The sequence below is a fragment of the Homo sapiens genome, chromosome 6, assembly GCF_000001405.40.
Source record: "Homo sapiens chromosome 6, GRCh38.p14 Primary Assembly".
Classification (NCBI taxonomy): Eukaryota; Metazoa; Chordata; class Mammalia; order Primates; family Hominidae; genus Homo; species Homo sapiens.
This window is the reverse complement of record NC_000006.12, coordinates 132,133,673-132,157,730: the sequence shown is the minus strand read 5'-3', so window position 1 is coordinate 132,157,730 and position 24,058 is coordinate 132,133,673. Positions and strand designations below refer to the sequence as shown.

The 24,058-nt window shown below is 36.6% G+C and overlaps 1 long non-coding RNA gene across 10 annotated transcripts in view; it reads right to left on the bottom strand.

Moving 5' to 3' along the window:
• LINC01013 (long intergenic non-protein coding RNA 1013) overlaps positions 1 to 24,058 on the bottom strand; it is a 36,803-nt gene that overhangs the window by 11,644 nt on the left and 1,101 nt on the right. For 2 of the 10 annotated variants that reach the window (NR_187599.1, NR_187600.1), the window contains exon 1: positions 23,248 to 23,706. This is a non-coding gene — a long non-coding RNA (long intergenic non-protein coding RNA 1013). Of the gene's footprint in view, positions 1 to 2,953; positions 3,076 to 10,668; positions 11,512 to 19,829; positions 21,291 to 23,247; positions 23,707 to 24,058 lie in introns of those variants that run through there. The other 8 variants (NR_187602.1, NR_187598.1, NR_187603.1 and 5 more) reach the window with 8 other exon arrangements.

Sequence of the window (24,058 nt, the reverse complement as noted above, 5' to 3'; positions counted from 1 at the left end):
TTTGAGATTCTTGAAGTAGGAGCTTAGATGACTAATATAACACATTACCTCCTTTCTAATGGAAATATTTAGTATTACAATTTCCCCCTCAGAACTGTTTTAACTATGCCCCTAATAGTTAAATATGTTGTATTTTTTAATTTCATTCTATTCCATTTATTTTTTATTTTCCTTAAGAATTCCTCTTTGATCCCTGGACTATTTAGAAATGTGTAGTTTATTTTGCAAGTGGTTAGAAATGTTTCTGATATCTTTTTGCTGCTGGTATCCAGGTTGATTCCATTGTGATCAGAGGATACACTTTATGTAATTTCAATTATTATAAATGTGTTGTCTTTTGTTTTATTGCCTAGGATACAGTCTATATTGATATATATTCCCTGAGTGCTTGAAAAGAATGTGTAATCTGCTGTTGGGGGGGCAGTATTCTACAAATGTTCATTTGAGTCTGTGGATTGATGGTGTTGTTGATTCTTCTATATCCTTGCTGAATTTTTGTTCAGTTCTGTCAGTTGCTGAGAAAGGGATGTTGAAACCTTGAAGTATAATTGTAGTCTTGTCTATTTCTCTTTTAAGGTCTATCCGTTTTGTAGATGTATGTCTACTCCATCTTCTCAGAAGTAGAAATCTTCTCTTATTGACAATTTTGATTGAACTTTCCTAACTCCTTCTATGAGCATTTTCATTTTAAAGATATTATTTGAAATCAGATTCATTAACTTTATTACTTGAGAATAAAATGGTCTCCTTATACATCTGTTTGAAGAGAAAGAAAATCATCTTAATTACAATCAAGTTTAGCCTGTTATCCTTGAAGGATTCTACTGGATGAGTGATGCATAGTCATGGACAAGTCCCCCAGCCCATGTATATATAGCATCTTCTGACCTAAAGATAATGGCAAATGATAATCAGCCAATATATAAGACATGTACATTACCAGCTGGCTTTTCAGCCAATGTTTTTCACAAGAAAATAAAATGAAAAACAGAAAATATTTCTCTTGTGAAATTTATAAAGGACCGAATGGTTGGCAAAGAGAACATGAGTCCTAATGCCAACCACATCAGTATCTTTTGGGAAAGGGTTTGTGCCATGTCACAAAAATTCTCTAGTATGTTCACCTGAGAAACACAAAAGTCCTAGTGCTCTGGGAAGAACCACCTTAAAAGACATATCTTTAATGCAATTACATAAGTTTTGACTAATTTTAATAGCAAGAAATATGTCTTTATTCAGTATAAAAGAACAATCCTGAGCACAGTAAACAAACCAAAAGTTGTAGACCAGCTCCACAAGATTTTCTGTTAAAAGTCCTTTTCTAATTCTACAATTGTTTTATTACTGCAGAATACAGTTTTAAGAAATTATGAGAGAATACCTGAAATTGGAGAAAATCCGTTTATTTTTAAATTTTGAAAGCATTTATTATTTTATTATATAAAACAGAATAACATGATTCTGCACAGATATCTAAGTGACCTTACAGCAAGCTACAGAACTGAAAAGCTCTGATAAGTGATTTGTTTTGGGATTCTGAGTCTCAGTTGCTGACTTGAACCTACGCTGTATATTCAGTATTGTGCTTTAGAATGACACTGTGGCCCTGATAGAAGGAAGGGAGGAAGAGAAAAAAAGAAGGTAGTAAGGAAGGAAGAAAGAAAGAAGGGTAGAAGGGCAGAAATAAAGTAGAAGGAAGAAAGGAAGGAAGGAAGGAAGAAAGGAGGGAAGGAAGGAAGGAAAGAAAAGTTCAAATATTTTAAATAACCAGCATTTGTAGGGAAAGGCCATTGTTTTTTTATAAATATGTCTCACTGGCTCTGATTTAAGGAACATGCAAAATCAATAAAATAAAAAGGACTGGACAATTTTGTTTTTTTCAGCCTTTCTAAGCTTCCTTCCCATTCATTTCGTAATAACACCTCTGTTTTCCTTTGGAGATTTATGCTTCCTAGTGGATCAAGTGGGAGAGCCCATTACCCAAGCTGGGCCAATCAGTTACTTGCAACACAGACTGTTAAAAACTTTAATAATATACAACAATATTTGTTTCCCCTAAAATATTGTTGATCAGCCACATTTGACTAGAATATAAAAAGTCCATAATCATTTTGAATAGCTCATCTGAATCTCCGGATTGACTGATGCTTCATGCCTTTCAAGTATTCAAGTTCCCATATGATTATGGGAGCTATGATTATGATTCCATATTAATTTCAATACCCACAAGGATGTTTACTGCTTCAAAAATGACTTTCTCCTTAAAAATGCAACAAGAGTGGTCAAGACATATGTCCTCTCAGAGCAGTTAATGAAATTGGTTTGCCTTAAATGGCACAGGTTGAAACTTCATAGACAAACCACTGTCAAATCTCTTCACTGGATACTTTAAATAGGTAGGCTGTTCATGAGTCTTTGGTATAACATAATTTGCACTATGTTGGAGGAGAATGTTTGTGGTTTTCAGTACATGGCTTTATAACACCTTTCAAAAAAACTTCTAAGAAATCACATCCACAGAAGATGTTATTTGAAGGTACCAGAAGGCATCAACCTTTGACTAGAGGGAAAATATTTCTCTTGAAGAAGAATAATAAATAGAAAAATATGCAAATTCTAATAGATTGAAGGTGATTTCTACAGTTTCTACTGAAAACTGGATTGTGGCAATTGAAAAATCAGATGGGTGTAGATTCGAGATGAAAATTCTAGAAATGTTCATGTTTTTAAAAAAGTTTTAGAACTAAGTTGACTGAGTGGGATGATGTGAAAAGTTGGGTTCAGAGAAAATATACTCAGTTACTTGGTGAATAATCTCACATGAGGCTTTACCATGATGAATTAATGCCTACCACAAGCTGGGAATTTAAAGCAACATCTGAAAGAGAAACGTGCCTTTGCCTGGGAGAACCTAACACAGATAAACCTGTGAAAGAGATGATCTCTAGCCTACCTTTACTTTCATTCTTCTGTCAATACCACAAACTGGCTCTTATTCTCCTCATCAGACAGAATAATCACCTTGCCCCCGGCCGGATCCTGCCTTTTTTGGATCACCAAGGCAAGCACTTCTGTCTGAAATGAAATGTAAAAGTGAAACACCTGATTTGTGACATCTACCAATGCAAATACATTTTAAAATAGCTATCTAGTTCTCTCTCTCTCCATATATATATATATATATATATAGATAGATAGATATATAGATAGATAGATAGATATAGATATATACAGTTTTTGTACATAAAAAATACTTTTCAATGAGTCACCAGAAGAAGAGATGAACTGACAAACAGTTTTAGGATGATATATTATTTAAACCATATAGATAAAAATATGAAGCTTTCATTAGTAAATGGTAAAAAAACATAATTAAAACACAGGTCTTTGGAAACTTGTTCTGCCTTAACACACTGCTACCTCAAAATAAATATATAAATCAATAATACAGAAATAAAAGTCATGAAAATATTGATATTCATTGAGTTTCAAACATCGATGAAGATTTTAAATCACATATTCTCCAAACAAAAAGGTAATGACTAATTAACAGGGTTTTTTAATGGTATGTTTTTGCTTGATTTATTTTTATATTCCTGTTTAGTTGTACTAATAGTTGTACATAGTTGTACTAATGTAGCACCATATAATTTTAGATTCTAAACTTTTCCATTTAACTTTATAATAAACACATACCATAGTTTTAAAACTTTTGTAAATATGCATGGGTGGTATTTCATTGAATTGGATGTTCCATAATTTTAAAAATGTTTTCTATTTTTGGTATAATTTTGGAGCGCAGTCCTCCAGGTTTAAATATTTTGTACTGATGCCTGAAAATAAAATAATTTTGACCTGCACCTCTTGTGACTTTAGGAATACAGTGTTCGTTATAGTTAAACTCCATCTTCTCGAGAAGAATCTTGAGAAGAAAACCTCAATGGCAAAGTGTGAACAAGCAAAAGAACTGCCAATAATGGGAAAAAGCCATCCCTATGATGTTGCAGTTCTCGGAGCCAAGGAATAAGTCTTGGATATTTTGGGATTGGTTTGCTCAAATATCGGATTTGAGGAACTCTTCAGGCTCACATTTTTCCTGGATTAGCCTGACTTTGACTCTTTATCCTTATATAGAAAGGCCTGAACTGGTCATATTTTAAAAAGAAATGAAGAAAAGATTTTTCAGGTTAAATCAAATTTTATGTTTCTGTTTCTCCCAAATTATTTTCAGATGCAAGAAAAAGCAAACCACACAGACGAACTGCACACTGCAATGAAGTTGGAATGCAAGACTTCATCAGAAGGGAGGGAACAAACTGGATAATTCAACCGCAAAATATGTGAACCACAAACGAGTAAATACACAAGTAGACACAACACACACACGCACACACACACACACACACATACACACGTCTGCTTTTTACCCAGGAATTTTCATCAATGGAGTTTTAAAAAAGCATATATATCCCCCAGCAAAAGCATATGGAAAATTTCACATTTCTATGTTTAAATGCTTGGCTTTACACGTATTGTGAATATTCTTTTAGAAAAGCACGAAAAAATGGAAACAAGTTTTTTTTTATCAGGCCATAAACAGCAGATTAAAGTTGAAAATAAATCACTATGCCTAAAGTCTTCCTTTAAGACCCAGGCCTAAAATGTTTCCCTAAAATATATGAGTTTCCTGCATGAATCATTTTTGTTATCCTCTATTATACGTGCTCATTTGTGTACAGGGCAAAACATTTTTACCAAATAAATCAATGTTAGGGATAAAGAAACCCATAGGTTGTCTTCTCCTTGGGTCTGACAATTAAGTAAAAGAGCAAGGTGACTAAAACATAATATTCTAATATCAAATGTAATCTTTTTGCCAGTTGTCATAAATTTTTTAAAAAATATATTTGGTTATGTATAAATTATAGACTTTTAGCCAAATTTTGACAGTTTAATTTTCAAATAATTAAAATGTTCACTGGGCTATGAAATCTCATTTAGGAACCTTTATGGTAAAATAAAAACTTAGTATGACTTCTAAATCCCTTGGGGAAGTACTAATGTCCTACATTTCTAAAATGGTTTATAGTTTTCAAAGACCTTATGCTCTAAGATTATATAATTGATTCCATTAATTTCTTCCTTATTCTTTTTTTTTTTTTTTTTTTTTTGAGATGGAGTCTCGCTCTGTCACCCAGGCTGAAGTGCAGTGGTGCAATCTCGGCTCACGGCAAGCTCTGCCTCCCGGGTTCACGCCATTCTCCTGCCTCAGCCTCGATTAGCTGGGACTACATGTGCCTGCCACCACGCCCGGCTAATTTTTTGTATTTTTAGTAGAGACAGGGTTTCACCACTTCCTTATTCTTTATATGTGTCTGGTACTATAGTAGGTGTCAGGGATTTCTACATCCATAACACAAAGCATATCTATGAAAGGTGTTCATTCATATAGAGGAAGAAGATAATTTAAAAGACGATTAGGCACTTTTACTTCTGAAAATATAGTAGGATCGTTGTTTATAAAAAACCCTTCCAGTAAACAATGCCTAAAAATACTGAATGAAGTTTTGTAAAATAATACATTTTTGTGTTATTTGTCTGATAAACAAGTCAAAAAAATCTTGATGGGCAGAAATGAAAAAAGGTGTGACTCCAGAAAGTAGACAAGTTCAAAAGCCATTGTTTGCCCTAAGGACATCTGCCATTCCTGGTAGCCCAGAACTGCATGGACAGAGTAGAAACAAAGCCTGGTCTGTGCAAGGGAAAATGGAAAAGCAAAGAAACAGCCTCAAATCAAAAGTCTCCAAAAGGTGACATCCCTAGTTGATGAACTAAGAAAGGATGTTCTCAGGAGATTGAGACCATGCAAGCAAATGTGAATGAGAATGACCGGAAAAGAAAAGTCAACCTGATGATTCCAGCTCAAAATGTTGCAGATTTTGGAAAGACACATATATACTTTGAAGTAAATATCAGCCTCATCTTTCAAAAAGAGTAAGAACATAGTAAGATGATGAAGAATAAGAGATTTTTCAGAAATCACTAGGTAGATTTGAAAAAAGAACCAAATGATCAGTCTGGAAATAAAGGCATTCTTGAGAATATAATATAGGGAGAAAGAGATTGAAAATAGGAAAGATAGTTAAGCAAAACAGAAGGTAGAGAAGGTAATTGAAGTTTCAGAAGTAGAAAGAGAGAGAGAGAATGGGAACAAGGAAATACTCAAAGAGTTAGTGATGTGGGATTTTCTAGCATTGTTATGGACTGCAATCTTTAGTTTCAGGAAATCCAACAAATGCTAATATAAAGTAGAATAAAACACACACACACACACACACACACACACACACACACACTTTTAGACACATTGCAATCAAACAGCAGAACACCAAAGACAAAAAGATCTTAAAAAGAGACACAAGATAAAATAACTTTAAACAAATGAAAATTAAACTGAAGTAGACTTCCCATTAACAACAATGGATGCCAGAATAATATCTTCACAGCTCTGAAAGAAAATTTATGTCAAGCTAGAATCTTATACTCAGTAAAATTATCTTTTGAGAATGAGGATGAGATAAAGACATTTTTCATGCACCCAGGAAACAGTATAGAATGCTGGAATTCGAGACATAAATGAAATTATTTTTTTTAAATCCCTTATATTTGCTTTATGCTTTATAATCACAACATACTTTCACTTTTTTTCTCATCTAGCCATATTAATGTGGTGATGCTATTGCCTCAAATAAGAGTTTATGTTTTTCTAAAGTTGGAAGAACATTTTATTAATTAATTATTTAAAATAACAAAAATAATATGTAATCTGTTCAGCTGACTTGGAAAACATTGAAAAGCGTGTAGAGGGGAAATAATCAAAACCATCCAATATCTCATTCCTCAAAGGTAACTACTGGTAATATTTCATTCCCAAACCTTTCTATAATTTTCTGTGTATGTATCTTTTGATAACTTACTTTTTTCCTTGAAAGTAGATCATAAGAATACTACTCTGCCAGTCATTTTTTTCTAATTACATTTTTAATGGATAAGTAGCCTTTTGTCATATGAATGCTGCTTAATCATTAAATCAGTTACTACTTAGCCATTGTGGTATTTGGATAATTGTGCAGCACATATTTCCTTTCCTCCCTTCTGACTATAGAAGACTTTCTGTTTATACTGAGCTTGGCCATGGAACTTAATTTGACCAATGGAAGTTAATGGATTTTGTGCAGAGATCTTAATTGTGCTTACCCCAATTAGTTTGTCTCTGGTGCTTTGATGATTCACCATAGGTAGTTGCCGTCCTTTAAGCTTGGGTCCCCAAATAAGCATACATGGAACAAACCTGAACCCAAATTGGGCCTTGGTGCCAAGCCCCACCACTGCAGAGCTGCCCATTTGTGCCTCGTTGAGGTAGGCTAATCTTTGTTGATTTGCAGACCCACGAGCATTGGAATAAATGCTTGCTGTAGCAAACCATGGTGTTTGGAGATGGGTTTTTTTGTTTGTTTTATGAGATGGAGTCTCACTCTGTTGCCCAGGCTGGAATGCAGTGGTGCGATCTCGTCTCACTGCAACCTTCGCCTCCCAGCTTCAACGGATTATCCTGCCTCAGCAGAACTACAGGCACGCGCCACTACACCCAGCTAATTTTTGTATTTACAGTAGAAACGAGGTTTCACCATGTTGGCCAGGATGGTCTCGATCTCCTGACCTCGTGATCCACATGCCTTGGCCTCCCAAACTGCTGAGATTACAGGTGTGAGCCACCATGCCTGGCCTGGAGATGGTTTTTTACATGTATTGATGTGACAGTAACTGATGAATACAACTGGAATTGGACACTGAGGTTGTATTCTAGTTTTGCTATTATGAATAGTGCTTCATTGAACATGTCACTATAGCTTTTTAAAAAATTATCATTAGTCCCTTTCCACAGAGGAAGAATCTGAGGTTAGGTTGAAGTTTTGTCACCCAATGGCACAAACCTATTAAATGACAACACTGTAATTTGAATCTGAGTCTGTCTAAAGCCAAAGGCCATGTTCTTTTAAGATGCTACATTACTTGTCACTAAAACATGTACACTTTTTAAATGATAAAATATGTCTGGCAATTTATAATAACATAAAAATGGCTTTGACTGGCACTGTAAGTATTAACTGCTTTTTGTCTCATTTTCATGGTCTTTTAAAATAAATATTGTATTGCAGTCATCCTACAAGAGACACTAAACTTTACACATATTGTTTAAAGCAACCTTAGTTTGGTACAATATTTTTTCTTAAAGCAGGCATTAAATCAGACTGTAATTTGTAACAGAAATTTTAGATTCAACATGAGAATGAGCACCTTGCTAAAACTTGGATTTCTTGGTTTGCTTTTGAAAATAGTCATCTTTTTTATAACATTACTGTAGGTTTATTTATATTTTACAAATATAACAGTAAGCTAATACTTGAAAGAGTGTGCAGTATCTTAAAACTGAGTACTTCTTATTAGGAATAAGTAATGTTCACATTATTTATGTGGGACAGAGTCATAAGATAATAATATACATCTTGTGAAGAAGCAGACAGGCAAATTAATAGCTGCCAAAAGAACCACAGTTTCTGCTTATGTTTGATAAATTAAACATGTTGATATAGAACTAATGATATGTATATAAGTAAAGAATACCATTCATTTATTTATGTTCAGCTAATATCTAACTTGACATCATGTAACCACCCCCAAAAACTGATTAGATTTAGTTAGAATAATTCCAATAGACAAAAGAGCATTATTCTCATGAGCCCTCTAGCAAATCATATCTCTGACTTTGACGTCCATGGATATTATAGCCAAAGCAAGGGATTATAGTAGTATGATCAATTTGCAAATACAGTAGTTTCTCTACATGGTCTTTATATTACCTGGCTCTACATATATGCATATAATACTTTGATTAGCTGTGTTCAGTCACACAAAGACAAGCCAAGTTAATTGAAATAAAAAATACAGATCAGCTTTGTCTTTCACAAGCAAAGCTGCCTATGATAACAGCTAATAAATCACTTCCAAATTTTAACATACATTTAAGTGTGTACCCCATATCTTTGCATATGTACTCAAATGATAACACAAGATGGAATGGAATGTAGAATGAGAGAGGCAAAAGCAAGTTTCTAGAAGCTAGGAGACAAAGTCATTTTCTAGTTGGATATGAAATATCCAACTTTTCAATTGTCTTGAAGGAGGCTTTTCACGTCTTTGCAGTTGTCTTGAAGATGAGTGTGGTGATAATAGGCTGGGACAGTGGTGGAAATGTGGAATAAAGGTATGATGGACAGAAGTAAGCCTATTTTAGATAACATGCAAAATTCTGAGAGTTATGAGAGGTCAATACAGGAAAGTAGATAGGATGTCCAGGATGGGTGATTGTGTGTGTGTGTGTGTGTGTGTGTGTGTGTGAAGAAAGAGACCTGAAGGGCATCTTTCCATATAATACTTAAAATAGTGCAATATATGAAGGCTTATATATACAGGAAAAAAATTCTTGAATTTCTTTCTCTTCCTAGAGTAAAATTGCTTGTGTCTCATGCATGCCAACATTATGACACAGTGTTAATTGGCATCAGTGAAACAAGGCAAAAGGGTCTTAATCTTCAGGCTCCTCACATCAGCATATTCCATTAAAGAGTTCAGTTCAATATGGCAACATCTCCTGCCATATTAGTCTTCTTTGCTGTTATGTATTAGGGACATGTGGGGCCAGTATGGGATGTGTAGATGTATCCAACTCCTCCCTGAAACAGCTCAGGCAAAAGGGTGTAGGCCTGGGTTCTGACCAACTATTTCTCAGGCCCTAGGAACTGCTTAAAAATCCCAGTTTACTCACTGAGCATCCAAGACCATGGATGTCTGTGGCATTTCCCTTCACCCCAGGGAGTCTCAGGTCTTTTTGGCCTGCAAATTGCTCAGCCATAAAATGATGTCATAATGAATGCACCAATGAAACACTGCCAGCTGAGGCTCACAAGGACAGAACCAAAATGACAGCACTGTCGAATGCTTCCATGCATTCCCAGACTCGTTTTTGGATAGTCTCATTAGCCAGATGTGAACTTAATCCACTCTAGTCAGCTAACTTTGGGATGACTCTCCTCCCACATTGCTGACCATAATTATTTCCTGCTGTAAGAATACTACTCTTACTGAATGTGACTCTTAGTTTGCTTTCTGCATCTTGGCTGCCATGTCAGGTTATATAAAATCGTATTTTTCAAAGTATAAAATGGATATGCTCTATATAAATGTAAGGTATTAATTAGCATCTCCAAAATCCTTGCTCTGCTGAATGTTTATCTAAAGAGAGACTTCTTTTTCAGTGTTTATGAAATGGTATTTAGTGTCTCTCACACAGCCCAAAGAAGCTACTTTAATGTAGCTGAAAACCACATGCCCAATCACATCCTACTCCATTTAACACATAAATATAGGGTGAGAAAGAGTCCACTCCAAGCAGCAATAAGCACACGGTGCTCACCCCAAAAGTCCTCTCCTCCCCACCTTATTCAACAATAAAAGACCTACCCTTCCTCCTTTCTCAACAATAAAACAGCAAGGGAGTGTTATGTCGCAGTACATTCAGGCTGCTAGAACAAAGTACCTTAGACTGAGTGGATTATAAAGAAAAGAAATTTATTTCTCACAGTTCTGCAGGCTAGGAAATCCAAGATCAAAGTGTTGGCAGATTCAGTGTCTGGCGAGGGCCCACGACCTGCTTCATAGCTGGCCGTCTTCTTGCTCATGTGTCTTCTTATGATTGAAGAAATGAGGGATCTTTCTGGTTTTTCTTTATAAGGCAATGAATCTTATTCTTGAGGGCTTCATCCTCATGACCTTATCATGTCCCGAAGGCCCCACCTCCTAATACTATCTCCTTGGGGGTTAGAATTTCAACATATGAATATTGGGGGAACAAACATTTAGAACAGAGCAGTGTAGAACAAACGATGGTTCCTTCTTGAGCAGTCTTGAGACCCAAGAAGAATAAAAACTTTATCTCCACAAGAAATTTACATTAGTAAATGTAAACACCTTTTGTCACTTTAGAGTACTACTTAAAGATTTGCTAAGGTTTCACTTCAATGAAGGAATTCAATGCATCCTGCTATTACAAATCTAGGTTAAGGTAAAAAGTAATTGTTTCTGATGGTCAGTGGCTAAATAAGCCATTTCAGGCTGAAACTGTGTTCTTCTGTGTTGTTTCTTACTCCAAAATAGTTTCTTATAAACTTCTCTGTGACACACTAAGCAACAACACTTACAAACTCAATATACTCTCATGGGCATATGTAGATTTTCACATCACCCACGACATTTCTTTTATCAAGTGCTTCAGTGATTCAGAATCTCCACCATTGTTAATGGCTCATCAGTATCAGTCTCCCACACTTAGCTGAGACAGAAGCTACTGGTGATGTACAATTCCTGAGCAGTCTGCTGCAACTCCATTCTCTCCTGCAAAGCACAAGAGAATGCAAGCGACAGTCTTAGTCCATTTGTGCTGCTATAACAAAATACCTTAGACTGGGTAATTTATACACAAGAGAATTTACTGCTCACAGTTTTGGAGGCTGGGAAGTCCATGATCAACGCACCACAGATTCAGTGTCTGATGAGGGCTTCCTCTCTGTTTCAAAGATGCACTCTCTAACTGCATCTTTACATTGTGGGAAAGGTGAACAAGCTCCCCCAGGCCTCTTTTATAATGGCAACAATATTCTCACCCATGAGAGCTCTGCCCTCATAACCTAATCACATTCCAAAGGTCCCACCTTTTACGACACTCACCTTGGAGGTTAGATTTTAGCATATGAATTTTGGAAGGACACATTCAGACCACAGCACTGAGAGAAATACTACCACTAGAATAAACTTTAAATCATTTTAATTGATATTATAAAAACTAACTCATTCACAACTCAGTACTCTAAGAATTATTAGAACCAATACACTTTATGGTCATTGATTTAAACAACTCGATGCCAGGACAGGAAGTTGAAAAGCGCTACTCTAAAAGGGGACAACAACGTGCGAAAAAGCATGTGGACTTTTAAAGGATTGTCATGTTCAGTTTGCGATTGGAATTCTGGTTGCTAAGAGGTTCAGGCATTGTTGTGAATGTCTCAGTCTCATTCCACACTCCACTCAATCTTTACAGGGAAGTCTCTGTGTGGGATGAAGAAGTCAAGAGATACAGGAGAGATAACAGAATTACACTCAAGTCTGATAATGCCATACAATTTCATTGGAAACTGCAAAGATTGAGGGAAGTTGAAGTATTCACTCTGTGTGGTGTTCATTCAGCCAGATCCTATTAAGCCTGAGCATCACAAATGCTCATGGGAAATTGAGAAAACTATAGTTTATAGAAGTAAACGGATCATTAACCAGAAATGTAAGAAATAGCTGATGGTCCCTGTGGACACATGATCTTTGGGGATCTGTGACTCTTTTTTGTTGAAACATTATTTTGGCTTGTGATATTTTGCTTGTGGGCATTTTGGGCTTGAGCATAAACAGTGGTGATGGTAGAAGAGGGAAATTAGTGTAGGTAAAGAGAGAGAAGGAAAAGACTGAAGGAGAGAAAGGGGAGAGAGAAAAGAAACTTGGAGGTAGTGTGGGAAAAAGAGGAGTTACCATTTATTATACACATTTCCTAAGAACTTGAACTGTACGATCTTTCGTTTAGTATTCACAAGATTTTCTGAAATAGATGGGGTTTTTTAATAGAGGAAAAAAACTTAGAAGAACATTCTTGTCCAAAGCCACCAAGCTACTAAGCTGGGACACAAACCCTGATCTCTCTGTTGCTGGAGCCCTGTGTTCTAACTGCTGCATTGCTCAGGTTCCTGGGCCTTTTGGAGGGTCTTCCTCTCTTTGAGGATGGAGTTGGGTGTTGGCAAATTGTTTAAGAAGAACTCCTTGGGTCTGGAGAGCTCAGAGGAACCAGAAGTGAGAAAGTTGGGAACTGACTCCAGGCTGATCTTTTTGGGGAGGAAGTGAGAAGAACTGGGAGATAACATGGTGGTTTCCATTTCCTTCCAGGGTGTTCTGAAGGTTCACCAAGATAAGGAAGAAGGCAAGGACTCAGGAGAGCACTATGTAGGAATGAAGATTTGCATTTGGCTGTAGCTTTCCTTGTGTCATGGATCTTAGGAGGAAAGTGTTTTAATATGGAAACAGAAGGATTACAGAACTCTCAGACTTTGAGAATTCTTGATTTAACTGATCAGTCTCATTTTTTTCAGACACTCAGAATAGTTTTGGTATATAGTTTTGTGTTTATTTCTATTCAGACTGCAATTGGCTGTAATGAAGTCCAATAAGTAGGAACAACTGTTTGAAGAATTGGAAACAGGGGAGGGTTTTGAAATCACGTTCATCTTCATATCATCATCATCATTATCATTCTTAGGTAGTGGATTTTTCTTCTTTCTCTCCCTCTCTCTTCCTCCCCCAATTTCTCTCTCTCTCTCCCCCCCAACTCACTTTCTTTCTTTCTCTCTCTCCTTCTATCCCCATCCTCTCTTTCAGTAACTTCAGATCTAAAGATTAATCAGATTTGTGAATTTTTAGTGAATTAGCACCATTATGGTTTAAGTCATGCAGACTGGACCTTGCTAGCTACTTTTTTCTCTGCCACAGACTCCTGTGTAAAAGCTGATCAGAGTATATATGCGCACTGGAACCAGTTCCAGTGATTGAACCGTGGTAAGTATTAACAAACTTTTCCACACCGCTTTGTGACACCACAGAATAAATTCTCAGAGAAGTAATTACTCTGAGCAGCCACAACACAACTTCTGACTACAACCACATAGTCGTTGCAATCTTTTAGTGCATACAACAGGTTTAATAATCTTGGCAATACAACTTTTGAAAAAATGGGTGGATGGTGTTTTTACTAATTGCTGAAACACCACAGAGTATCTTATACTTAAAGCTAATGATAAATACTCCAGCAAATACTATAGTTTCTATAAGATTCTTGATATTGACACTGAGTAGATACACGTATTTGCTTTCACTTCTAAACAAATAGTCAAAATAATTTAGGCCTGTGCTTCTCCAATATTATCATATCAGGAGATTTTGTTACATTGCAGATTTTGATCCAGGTGGTCTGAATGGGGCCTGAGATTCTGCCTTTTTAGCAGGCTCTCAGAGAGTGCTGCTGCTGCTGTTCTAGGGCTCAACCTCTGCAAAGCTGGGGCTCTAGAGGGCAGATGATGTGTGCTGTAGAGCTCAGCCTTGGGACACATTCTCATGGATATTTAACGGTGTGCTCCTTCACAGTGGTCCTGTCCCAACATAAGAAACAGATGCAGCAGGATTTGATGTCAGTTTAAAATTCATAATTTCAATATTGTGCCAAACAATCCAAATTCAAAAAGGAGACCAGTCTAGGGTAAAAAAACCAACTGGTTGCCAGAGTCACATATATATTTTTTGTGCATTTTCTAGAGTCCATGTATAGAACCTGACTACAAATAGTCTTTTTAAACTAATGTGCACAGTAGCTCTTCATCCCACTTGTATGAGAACACATCAAAATGGCAATCTGAGGGTGTAATCATCTATTTTTAATACCAATGTTTTCAGGACCCATTTAATTAAAACAAACAAAAAAGATTTCCTTTCTTTGAACCCACAAGTCTGATAAGCAGCCAGTGCCATTTCTTGGTGTAATCTTAGTAAAACACATTCCACATCCCAAGAAGTTTTTATGAAACCATTCAAATAATTTCAAACATTCTCTTCATTCTATTGTCCTGTTATTTAATACACACACAGACACACACAGTCAAAGCACATGCCCAGTTGTGCACACATAAATGGGCACATACAAGTGGGCATGCACAAGCCTGCACATTGTCTAAAGGTATTTGTTATACAAACATCACAATATCATTACTTTTCTTTATCTTGGATTCAGGCACACTACATTTTTTAGTGTACATTCAATAATATGCTGATAGTGAATTCAGCTTTTATATAATCTATGGATTAAATTTTTCCAGGAACTTCCAATTTTACTCCAATATGATTCCAGTATTCTGAGAGAAGGTTATTCCAACTAGAATGTGCTGAAGGGATGGATGTGGCTTCCATGCAGGGCATATTTCAGCTTTTTCCAAATAACATTCTTGTAGAGATTACAGGATAATCTGGAAGCCAGACCCAGCCAATTAAAACAGTAATTGAAATGGCTGAAAATGTTTTCCTTGGCAATTTTTTGTTATTTTGCTTCATTTTGGGTTTCCTTGAATAACAAAAAAACTAGGGTCAATCATAAGACTCCTAATTTATTTTCTTGGTTATCTTTTCTCATCGAACAGAAAAGGGCTGCTGTGGAGCTTAAATTAAAACCTGAAAACTGTGGTATGGGGTGGTATGAAGGCAGGCATGAGAAAACATGAAATGATTCTTAAGCTAACACAAGTAAATCTCCTCTGAGCATAGAAGATGTGGGAGTTTCTGTTTTAGGTGGTAAGAGTGAAATGGGGCGGGGGATTCAAAAGGAAATATAATAAAAAATACAGAAGAGGCTTTCTTGTAAAATATAGGTTTAATTTTTTTGAGATTAATAGGTACTTGAAAGTTGAGACTTATAATTTTAAGACATCTAACATGAAGAACTAAAAATCATTTATGTACCATAACTCTCTTCCACTGAAATCAGTTGTGTACTATTGAATGATTGATCATGTCTGGGGTGAGAGAGTATCTGATGATTTTTAGTATTTGCCAATTTCCATAGTGTAAACATTTTTATCACGGCTGATTTCAGTCTGCCGATCTGGCATTGATGAACATAGAGCTGGAAATAGATAGGCACCATCAATTTTGCAAGGCTCTGCAAACTGCTCCAGCACACTTCTGACTAAAGTCATCACTTTACAAAAGAAGACAGATATGAAAAAGCAATCGCAATTGATAGCAAGTAAAAATATCAATAGAGGAAATTAATAGGCAAAGATAAGCATCTCACAAATTAATTAATCTAAGTTCTGCTGATTAAAATGGCAAAACTTGAGAAAACCCAAATTATGTAACTGATTTAAAAAGAAAAATACTTTTCCACGTCATTCCATGATGTAGCTTCTTTCCTTTAAGGCTCTACTTTTAAGTCAATTCCTCTATGAACCCCCTCTGAAGAAATCTGAAAGTAGTCATTGTAACCATGTTAGCATCCTCTTGGAATTATGATGACTTCAAAATATCTTAATACTACTGTATCTAACTCCACACATTGGAATCCCTTGGGAGCTTCCATAAAGTACCAATTCCTTGGTCCCACACAGGACCAACTAAATTAGAAATCTTGGGTAGAGCTCAGCATCTATAATTTTGGAAAGCTCTCCATGTACTTAATTTGCAACCAGGGTCGAGAACAACTACACTATATATTTATTTGTCTGTATTTTCATTAAAAGTGCTCTGAAGCAGGGTTATGTTCCATTCTCTTAAAGTATGGCCCTGTAGCTGGGCCATATATAAAATTTTTTTCTTCCTTTATTCATTTTCCCATCTGCATTGTACTGGCAAATGTGGTGAATCAATAAAGACTTTTGGTTAAGTTTTAAAAGGACTAGAAATACAATGTCGTTTCTATGGATTGTAGATTGAACTTATGTTTATTCTTATTTTCTTATTTTTAGGTTTCAAACCAAGCTCAGAAATTTTTGAGAGGGATCTCAGTCACCAGCAGCATGTACTAATTAATAATGATTTTCAATTATTCCACACAACACATGTGGAACAACTCAACCTTTGACTTAGAAATGGAAACTAATTTTAAATTTGATTTAGTGAATAATTAACTCATGAGATTTATCTACATTATGCTAATATGAATATCTTTATGCAAAACCAACAAAGGAAGCAAAAATTCACTCATTTAAATAATGTAAAAAATATATATATATTAACAATATAGGTGAGGTTTTAGCTTTTTCCTGGAAGGACAAACCATACAATGCTATAGCATGCATGTTTATAGGATTAATTAATTTACATTCTTCTTACTCCAAAACAATCTTAGGCTATTTAGAAATGATTCTACCCTATTTTCCCATGCACAGTCATCATCATTAGTAGCTGTATTGATCAAAGTTCTATCTGTGAATCTTGGAAAGCCACGCTTCATGTGTAGAAATCTATGCCACCCTTAGGCAATGCAACAGAGCCAAGAATAGCAAGAAGCACAACAAATAGCAGCTGTGGCTCTTTGCATGTGTGGTACCATTTAGGCTAATGCCCAGGATAGCATATCATTTGTCCAAAAGGTGCAGCTGCACCAGCTGGCAGACTGTTGAAGGCGGCAAAAACACAGAAGGCAGAAACTGGCACCGATCCTTGCCTCTCCCCAAACCCACTCAAGTTCTTGCAGCACTACTCTGTGCAATGTTCACAAAGAGTCATGGCCAGCATTTGGGCAAAACATGCAATATGACTTGGCTGAAGAGCAGGTGTCATCATTTGACTCAGTCACTGGTAGATGCATCTGAAATTAAGTGTATTAGTTCACCACTGCTGCATAACAAACCACCCCAAAGCACAGGGGGCTTTAAACAGCAATTACTTATTGCTTACACCTATGTGGGAAGGATGGGGTTCAGATGATCTAGGTTGGACTTGGCTGGTGGCTTTTTTTTCTCACTGTGATTCTGTGAATTGACCAATGCATCTCTAGCCTATGTGTATTCATTCTGGGGCTCAGGCTGAAGGGGCAGGAGCGACCTAAAAGGAATCTTCTCATGTCAGTGACACAAATGCAAAGGTGCAAGTGGAAATACACTTACAGAGCTTTTAAGGCCTAGGCTTAGAACTGGCATATTGTCACTTCTGCTCATATGCTATTGATCAAAACATGTCACATGGCCAAGTTCATATTTAAGCAGGGAAGAACCACACTTTTCACATGAAGAGACCATGGAAAAGGCTTAGATAGGTTCAGGGACACATAAAGAGAATTAAGTTCAACATATTTATCTGACATATAAACCCATTACTTTTTACAGAAAAGAGGGATGATTATGATGACAACGGCAATAGTAATAATAGTAGCTATCTTGTACTATGCATTTGCAATGGTCCAGGCACTCTTCCAAACTCTAGATAGATAGATAGATAGATAGATACATACATACATACATACATACATCATACATACATACATACATAGCTAGGTAGATAGATAGGCAGATGAAGTTCCATGTAATTCTCACAATAATCTTATGAAATAAGTATTACTGTATCCTCCTCTTATAGACAAGGCAACTGAGGTAGAGAGGGGACTTATAAGAAATATAATGGATTATTATTATTATTATTATTATTATTATTATTATTTTGAGACAGGATCTCTCTGTCACCCAGACTGGAGTGCAGTGGTGCAATCATGGCTCACTACAGTCTTGACTTCCCAGGCCCAAGCAATCCTCCCACTTCATCCTCCTGAGTAGCTGGGACCACAGGCGTGCACCACCATGCCTGGCAATTTTTCGTGTGTGATTTTTGGGTAGACAGGGTTTTGCCATGTTGCCCAGGCTGGTCTTGAACTCCTGGGCTCAAGTGATCTGCCCACCTTGGGCTCCCAAAGTGCTGAGATTACAGGCATGAGCCACCATGACTGGCCAATACGGGACAATTATTAAATTAAAAGAACAATATGTGCTCATTTTCTTAACCTATGGTACAGGAATATTATGTGAATTATGTTCTGTAACTTAAGGATTGCCTCCCATGATATTTACTGTGTTGGGAGTAGAAATAGACAATCTGGATGAGCATGCCATGGTCATCAAGGAAGAGAGACATGAACATGATGTGCTCATCTCTGGGGTTTACCTACAGAATGTGCACATCAGTAGAACTTAGTAGCAGTGACCACCAAAACAAACTGGTAGACTTTTGAGGAGGAATTCAATTTGCTTTCTATTTCTTTCAGGTTTGAGGCTTATGGAAATCTGTACATGGAGGAACCTGTGGGGTTTGAAAATGGAAATCCTTTGCTCGTTTATAATTTAGAGCACGTTGGGAAAGATGAATTCTACAGAAAGGGGAGAAGCAGAAGCTGTCATTTCCTTTTTAGCAGTAGTGGGCAATGTGGGGAATGGAACAGACAACAGATACGGGATTTTACAGCAGCTTCTGGGAAATTTGCTGAAAACCTGCCCCAGTGCCACAGCTGTGGCTGAGATCAAGAGTCATAGGGTAGTTTCTTATGATTCTTGCAACTTCCTGAATTCCTCAAAGGTTACAGTGGCTTTGTCTGGCCCTCACTCCTCAAATGGACTTTTTTGGTGCCTAATTCCCTATGTTTAAGTCTCCTCCTGTTTGAAGTCTCTAGTTGACTACTCTAGTTGATGAAATGAAACCTGTTTCAGGTGATGAGTGTTGAAAGCTTGTAAACAGGGATACATTCAAACAATGATGATACATTTGCTCAAAAGAGAATGATTATCTTAAAGATATCCTCCAAAGTAAAAAATTGATCAACAGAAAATGATATCTTAATAACAATAATCTAGATGTAAAGGATCTGTTAACAAAGATTAGGATATGGGCTTGGCAGACAAGTTGTCAAGTGGAAGAAGGTGTACTTCACAACTAGAGAAGGTCACTTAAAAACCCCACTTTTTAAAGGTATAACTGACAAAAAATAACAGCACATATTGAATGTATACAACTTTAGTTTGGAGATAAGTACACATCTGTGAAATCATCACCACAATCTATGCAATAAACTTATCCATTGTCTCCGAAAGTTTTCTCTCACCCTCTTTATTATTTGTGATAAGAACACTTAACATAAGATCTATCCTCTTACCAAATTTTTAAGTATATAATACAGTACTTGTAACTATAGACACTACACTATACAGTAGATCTCCAGGGCTTGTTCATTGTATATAACAGAAACTTTGTGCACTTGGAGCAATAACTTCCCATTTCTCTCACCACCCCCTCCAACTCCCGGTAACCATCATTCTATTCTCTATTACTATGAGTTTGACTATTTTAGATTCCACATATAACTTAAATCATACAATATTTGTCTTTCTGTGCCTGGCTTGTTTCACTAGCATGATGTCTTCCAGGTTCATCCATGTTGTCACCAAAGGCAGTATTACTTCTTTTCTAAGGTTAAATAATATTCCATTGTATATATATATCACATTTCTTTATCCATTCATCAGTCGATGGACATTTAGATTGATTACATGTCTTGGCTATTGTGAATAATGCCACAGTGAACGTGAGAGTTCAATTACCTTTTAGAGATCTTGCTTTCAATTCTTTTGGATCAATAACAGAAGTGGGATTGCTGAATCATATGATAGTTCTATTTTTAATTTATTGAGGAGCCTCCATGCTGTTTTGCATAGCGGCCGAAGCAGCTGCACCCATTTACATGCCCCCTAACAGTGTACAAGAGTTCTCTTCTCTCCAGATCCTCGCCAACACTTTTTATCTTTTGCTTTTTGGATAACAGCCATTCTAATGGGTGTGAGATTCATTGTGGTTTTCATTTGCATTTCTCTGATGACTAGTGATGTTGAACATCTTTTCATATGTCTCTTGGCCATTTGTAGAAAATGCTATTCTTGAATTCATTTTCAAAATATACATTGAAGTCTGTTTTTGTAAAACTTAACAATAATCATCAAATTAAAAACTAGATGTGTCAGTCTCAAATCATTTAATAATATTCAATCAAGAATAAAAAATTTAGAAAGCAAAACTCATTAGTTCTTTTATTTACTCAGCAATTATTTCTTGAAAAGCTGTAAGTGCTAAGCAGTACTTAGATGCTGGGGGAAGTAACAGAGAGCAAAAGATTTGAAGACAAATCCTTGCCTTCATGGAGCTTGGTTTTAGAGTTTGATATAGACAATAAAGATGTTAAGTACTAAGATGCTTATATAGTACTTTAAAAAGAAGATCATTATGGCTGGGTGCAGTGGCTTGCCTGTAATCCCAGCACTTTGGGAGGCCGAGGCGGGTGGATCACCTGAGGTCAGGAGTTTGAGACCAGCCTGACCAACATGGAGAAACCCCATCTCACCTAAAAATACAAAATTACCCAGGCATGGTGGCACATGCCTGTAATCCCAACTACTCAGGTGGCTGAGGCAGGAGAATCCCTTGAACCTGGGGGCAGAGATTGCGGTGAACCAAGATCATGCCATTGCACTCCAGACTGGGCGACAAGAGCAAAACTCCATCTCAAAAAAAAAAAAAAAAAGAAGAAGATCATTACTATGAAAGATAAAATGGATATGAGGAATTCTGGGGTGTTAAGTTTGCAATTTTAAATAGGACAGTCAAGGTAGGCCTTATTGAGAAAGTGATATTTGAGTCAAGACTTAAACTAAGCAAAATGCGAGCCATGGAGATAACAAAAACAAGATTTTTCCAGGCATTGGAAATTGTTTTTGCAAAGAAGCTGAGGCTGGGATGTGCCTGGCATGTTTGGGGAAGAACAAGGAAACCAGTGTTGCTTAGGTGCAGAGTTTCTGTGGAAGAAAAGAAAAAAAAACTCGGAGGAAATAACTTATTTAAGAGTTAAATTGAACAGTTAGCTAAATAGCAACAGAGGAAGATCTCAGTGTTTCCAGTTATTTGGCTTTTCTTTTTTTTTAACACCTTATTAATTTACTTAGCTAATGAATTAGCCAGGTAGGAAGGTAGGTGGGTGGGTAGGTAGGTAGGTAGATAGGTAGCTAGCTAGTTTTAAGGAGGTAATACATGCACACCGTATACAATTCCGAATTTCCAGTGGTCTGAAGGAGTGTGCACAGTGAAAAGTCAGCCTCTTTGATGCACTTACACAGTGTCTCCCTACCCACAAGGATCCAATGTCACTAGTTCTCCTATGTATCTTTCCAGAGACATTCCATGACTCTTTCTAATATTCACTGCCAATTGAGGCAATTTGGAAAAGCAGAGTGTGTCACTGAGATCTCGACAAAGTTCGCTTTCATAGACGCACCTGCATCTTTGTACAGTAATTACAGACCCCGAAAGAGGAGGTCAGCCCAGATGGTGCTCATTTCATATGGGTGGGGTGGGGCCTATCTTGTGAAGTCACCAAGTCACCTCATGAAGAAGTGACATGGGTGTGGCCACTATTTATTCTGACAGCTATTTTTGTTCTCATATCCAGAGGAAGATTCCGTGGCTGTCGTTTCTTGTCATTTTCCCCCAAGTATAAGGAGTGATTTCACTGCATGCATGAAAACAGGTGTAATGAAATTTAAAAAGAAATGGTAGGCAAAAATAAATAAATGCAATAATAAAGTGAATAATAAATGGAAAATTTCTGTGTTTCACCAATCAATATGGACCAGGGACAATGCGTTCTTTGTTTGATAAAAGTTAGAAATCCAAGTTTTTCCTCAAGTGCAGCCAAACTACATGTAATATATACTTTAGGCATTCGGGCATTTCCCTTATAGGTAAACAAACAGCAAGCCATAAAATCTTCTGTATTTCTTTGATGTTACAGACAGTCTTCTGTTTTATCATGGGCTGCAAGTCTGATTCTGTTCTGTGAGATGTCTTGCATAATTTTCTAGTAGTATCAAAAAAAAGTGCCATACAATCAGAGTCTACCTCTCCAACGATAGTAAGATAAAGGATGTTGATTTCTTCAGGAACATTCCTATGGCCCTAGCATTGTCATCACTCAACAGCCTGTCTCTATAATGACTACTATATTTTCTAAGACACCATCTCTGGAATTAAAGTGTATCTTTAGCTTTGTACTGGTGTTTCCAGTCCTTGAATTCCCCCAACTTGATTTTTCTTAGCCTAAAAAATGACCTAAATTTCCTTTTCTTTTATGTTCTACCTCTTTTTTGCCTCACCTAACACATGTAAACCACCATAAAAGTTGAGTAGTAGCTCTCCTGTTTTTCCCCTTAAGTTTTTTACTTACTCCAATACACATTTATTCTAGAAGGACATTTTGGTTCCAGCATATCCTCAAGTTAATGATATCATAATGTATGCTTCTGACTCAGTTTGAAAATCCAAATAGATTAATGACAGTAAAGACTTTTGAGAAAGTAAATAAATATATTAAGGATGCTTGAGAGACAAGTAATATAAATACAGTCCCCCAAAACAAGTAAAGAGAAAGCTGTGATTCAGTGATAGCAACTTTTACCTGATTCTTACCTTGTTCTCCCACTGTACTGCCTGCTCCAGGCTTCTTTTCCCAGCATAATCTATCCAGACCACTTGTGTTTAGTATCCAAGTGTAGCTCTCCTTTGTTCCAGGCTGAGGTCCAGGATATAAAGCTGATGCAGTCACAGGTTCTAGTGGGTTAAATAATACTTGGGCACTGCTGGATGCCAACTAGCACAGTTTTCTGGAGATGATGTCTTAACTGGAAGAATGGAATCCATTAGTTGGAATTTCAGTTGCTGACTGATCAGCAGAAGAAATATGTGGGATAAGAATGTCTTCTGCAGCCCCTTAAGTCAAACCAGATAGGAAACTGCCTCCTCAGACTGCACGAGGAGTCTACTGAAATTCTGATTTTCTTAAATGTACAGCAAAGAAGTTTAAAACACCAAAATAGGGCACAAGAGAGTTATTGTAATATTAGTATCAACTTTAGGTGAGAATTTAGTCATTAAATATAATTTACTTCCTATTTATTAAAAATGCTGGCTTCCTGAAGTCATTCATAAGGAAATGAATCTGTGAGGCATAACTTGTGATCACAGCGGGGGGGTGAGGAAGTCCTTCAGATGCAGCTTCGTGGGGAAAGCGTGAGGAACAACTCAACTGGCTTCCTATGTGAAATAGACAGATTTGTCTCTAAGACGTTTAAAAAAGAAGAAGAAATAATAATTTATAACTTAGAAATTAAAACTGTTGAATGCCTCATCTAAGATGAGGCAGCACTATCCATTTCAAGGATTATAAAATGAGAGAAGTATGATTTGTAGAAATGAAATAGAACTTTTTCTAAGGGAAGCT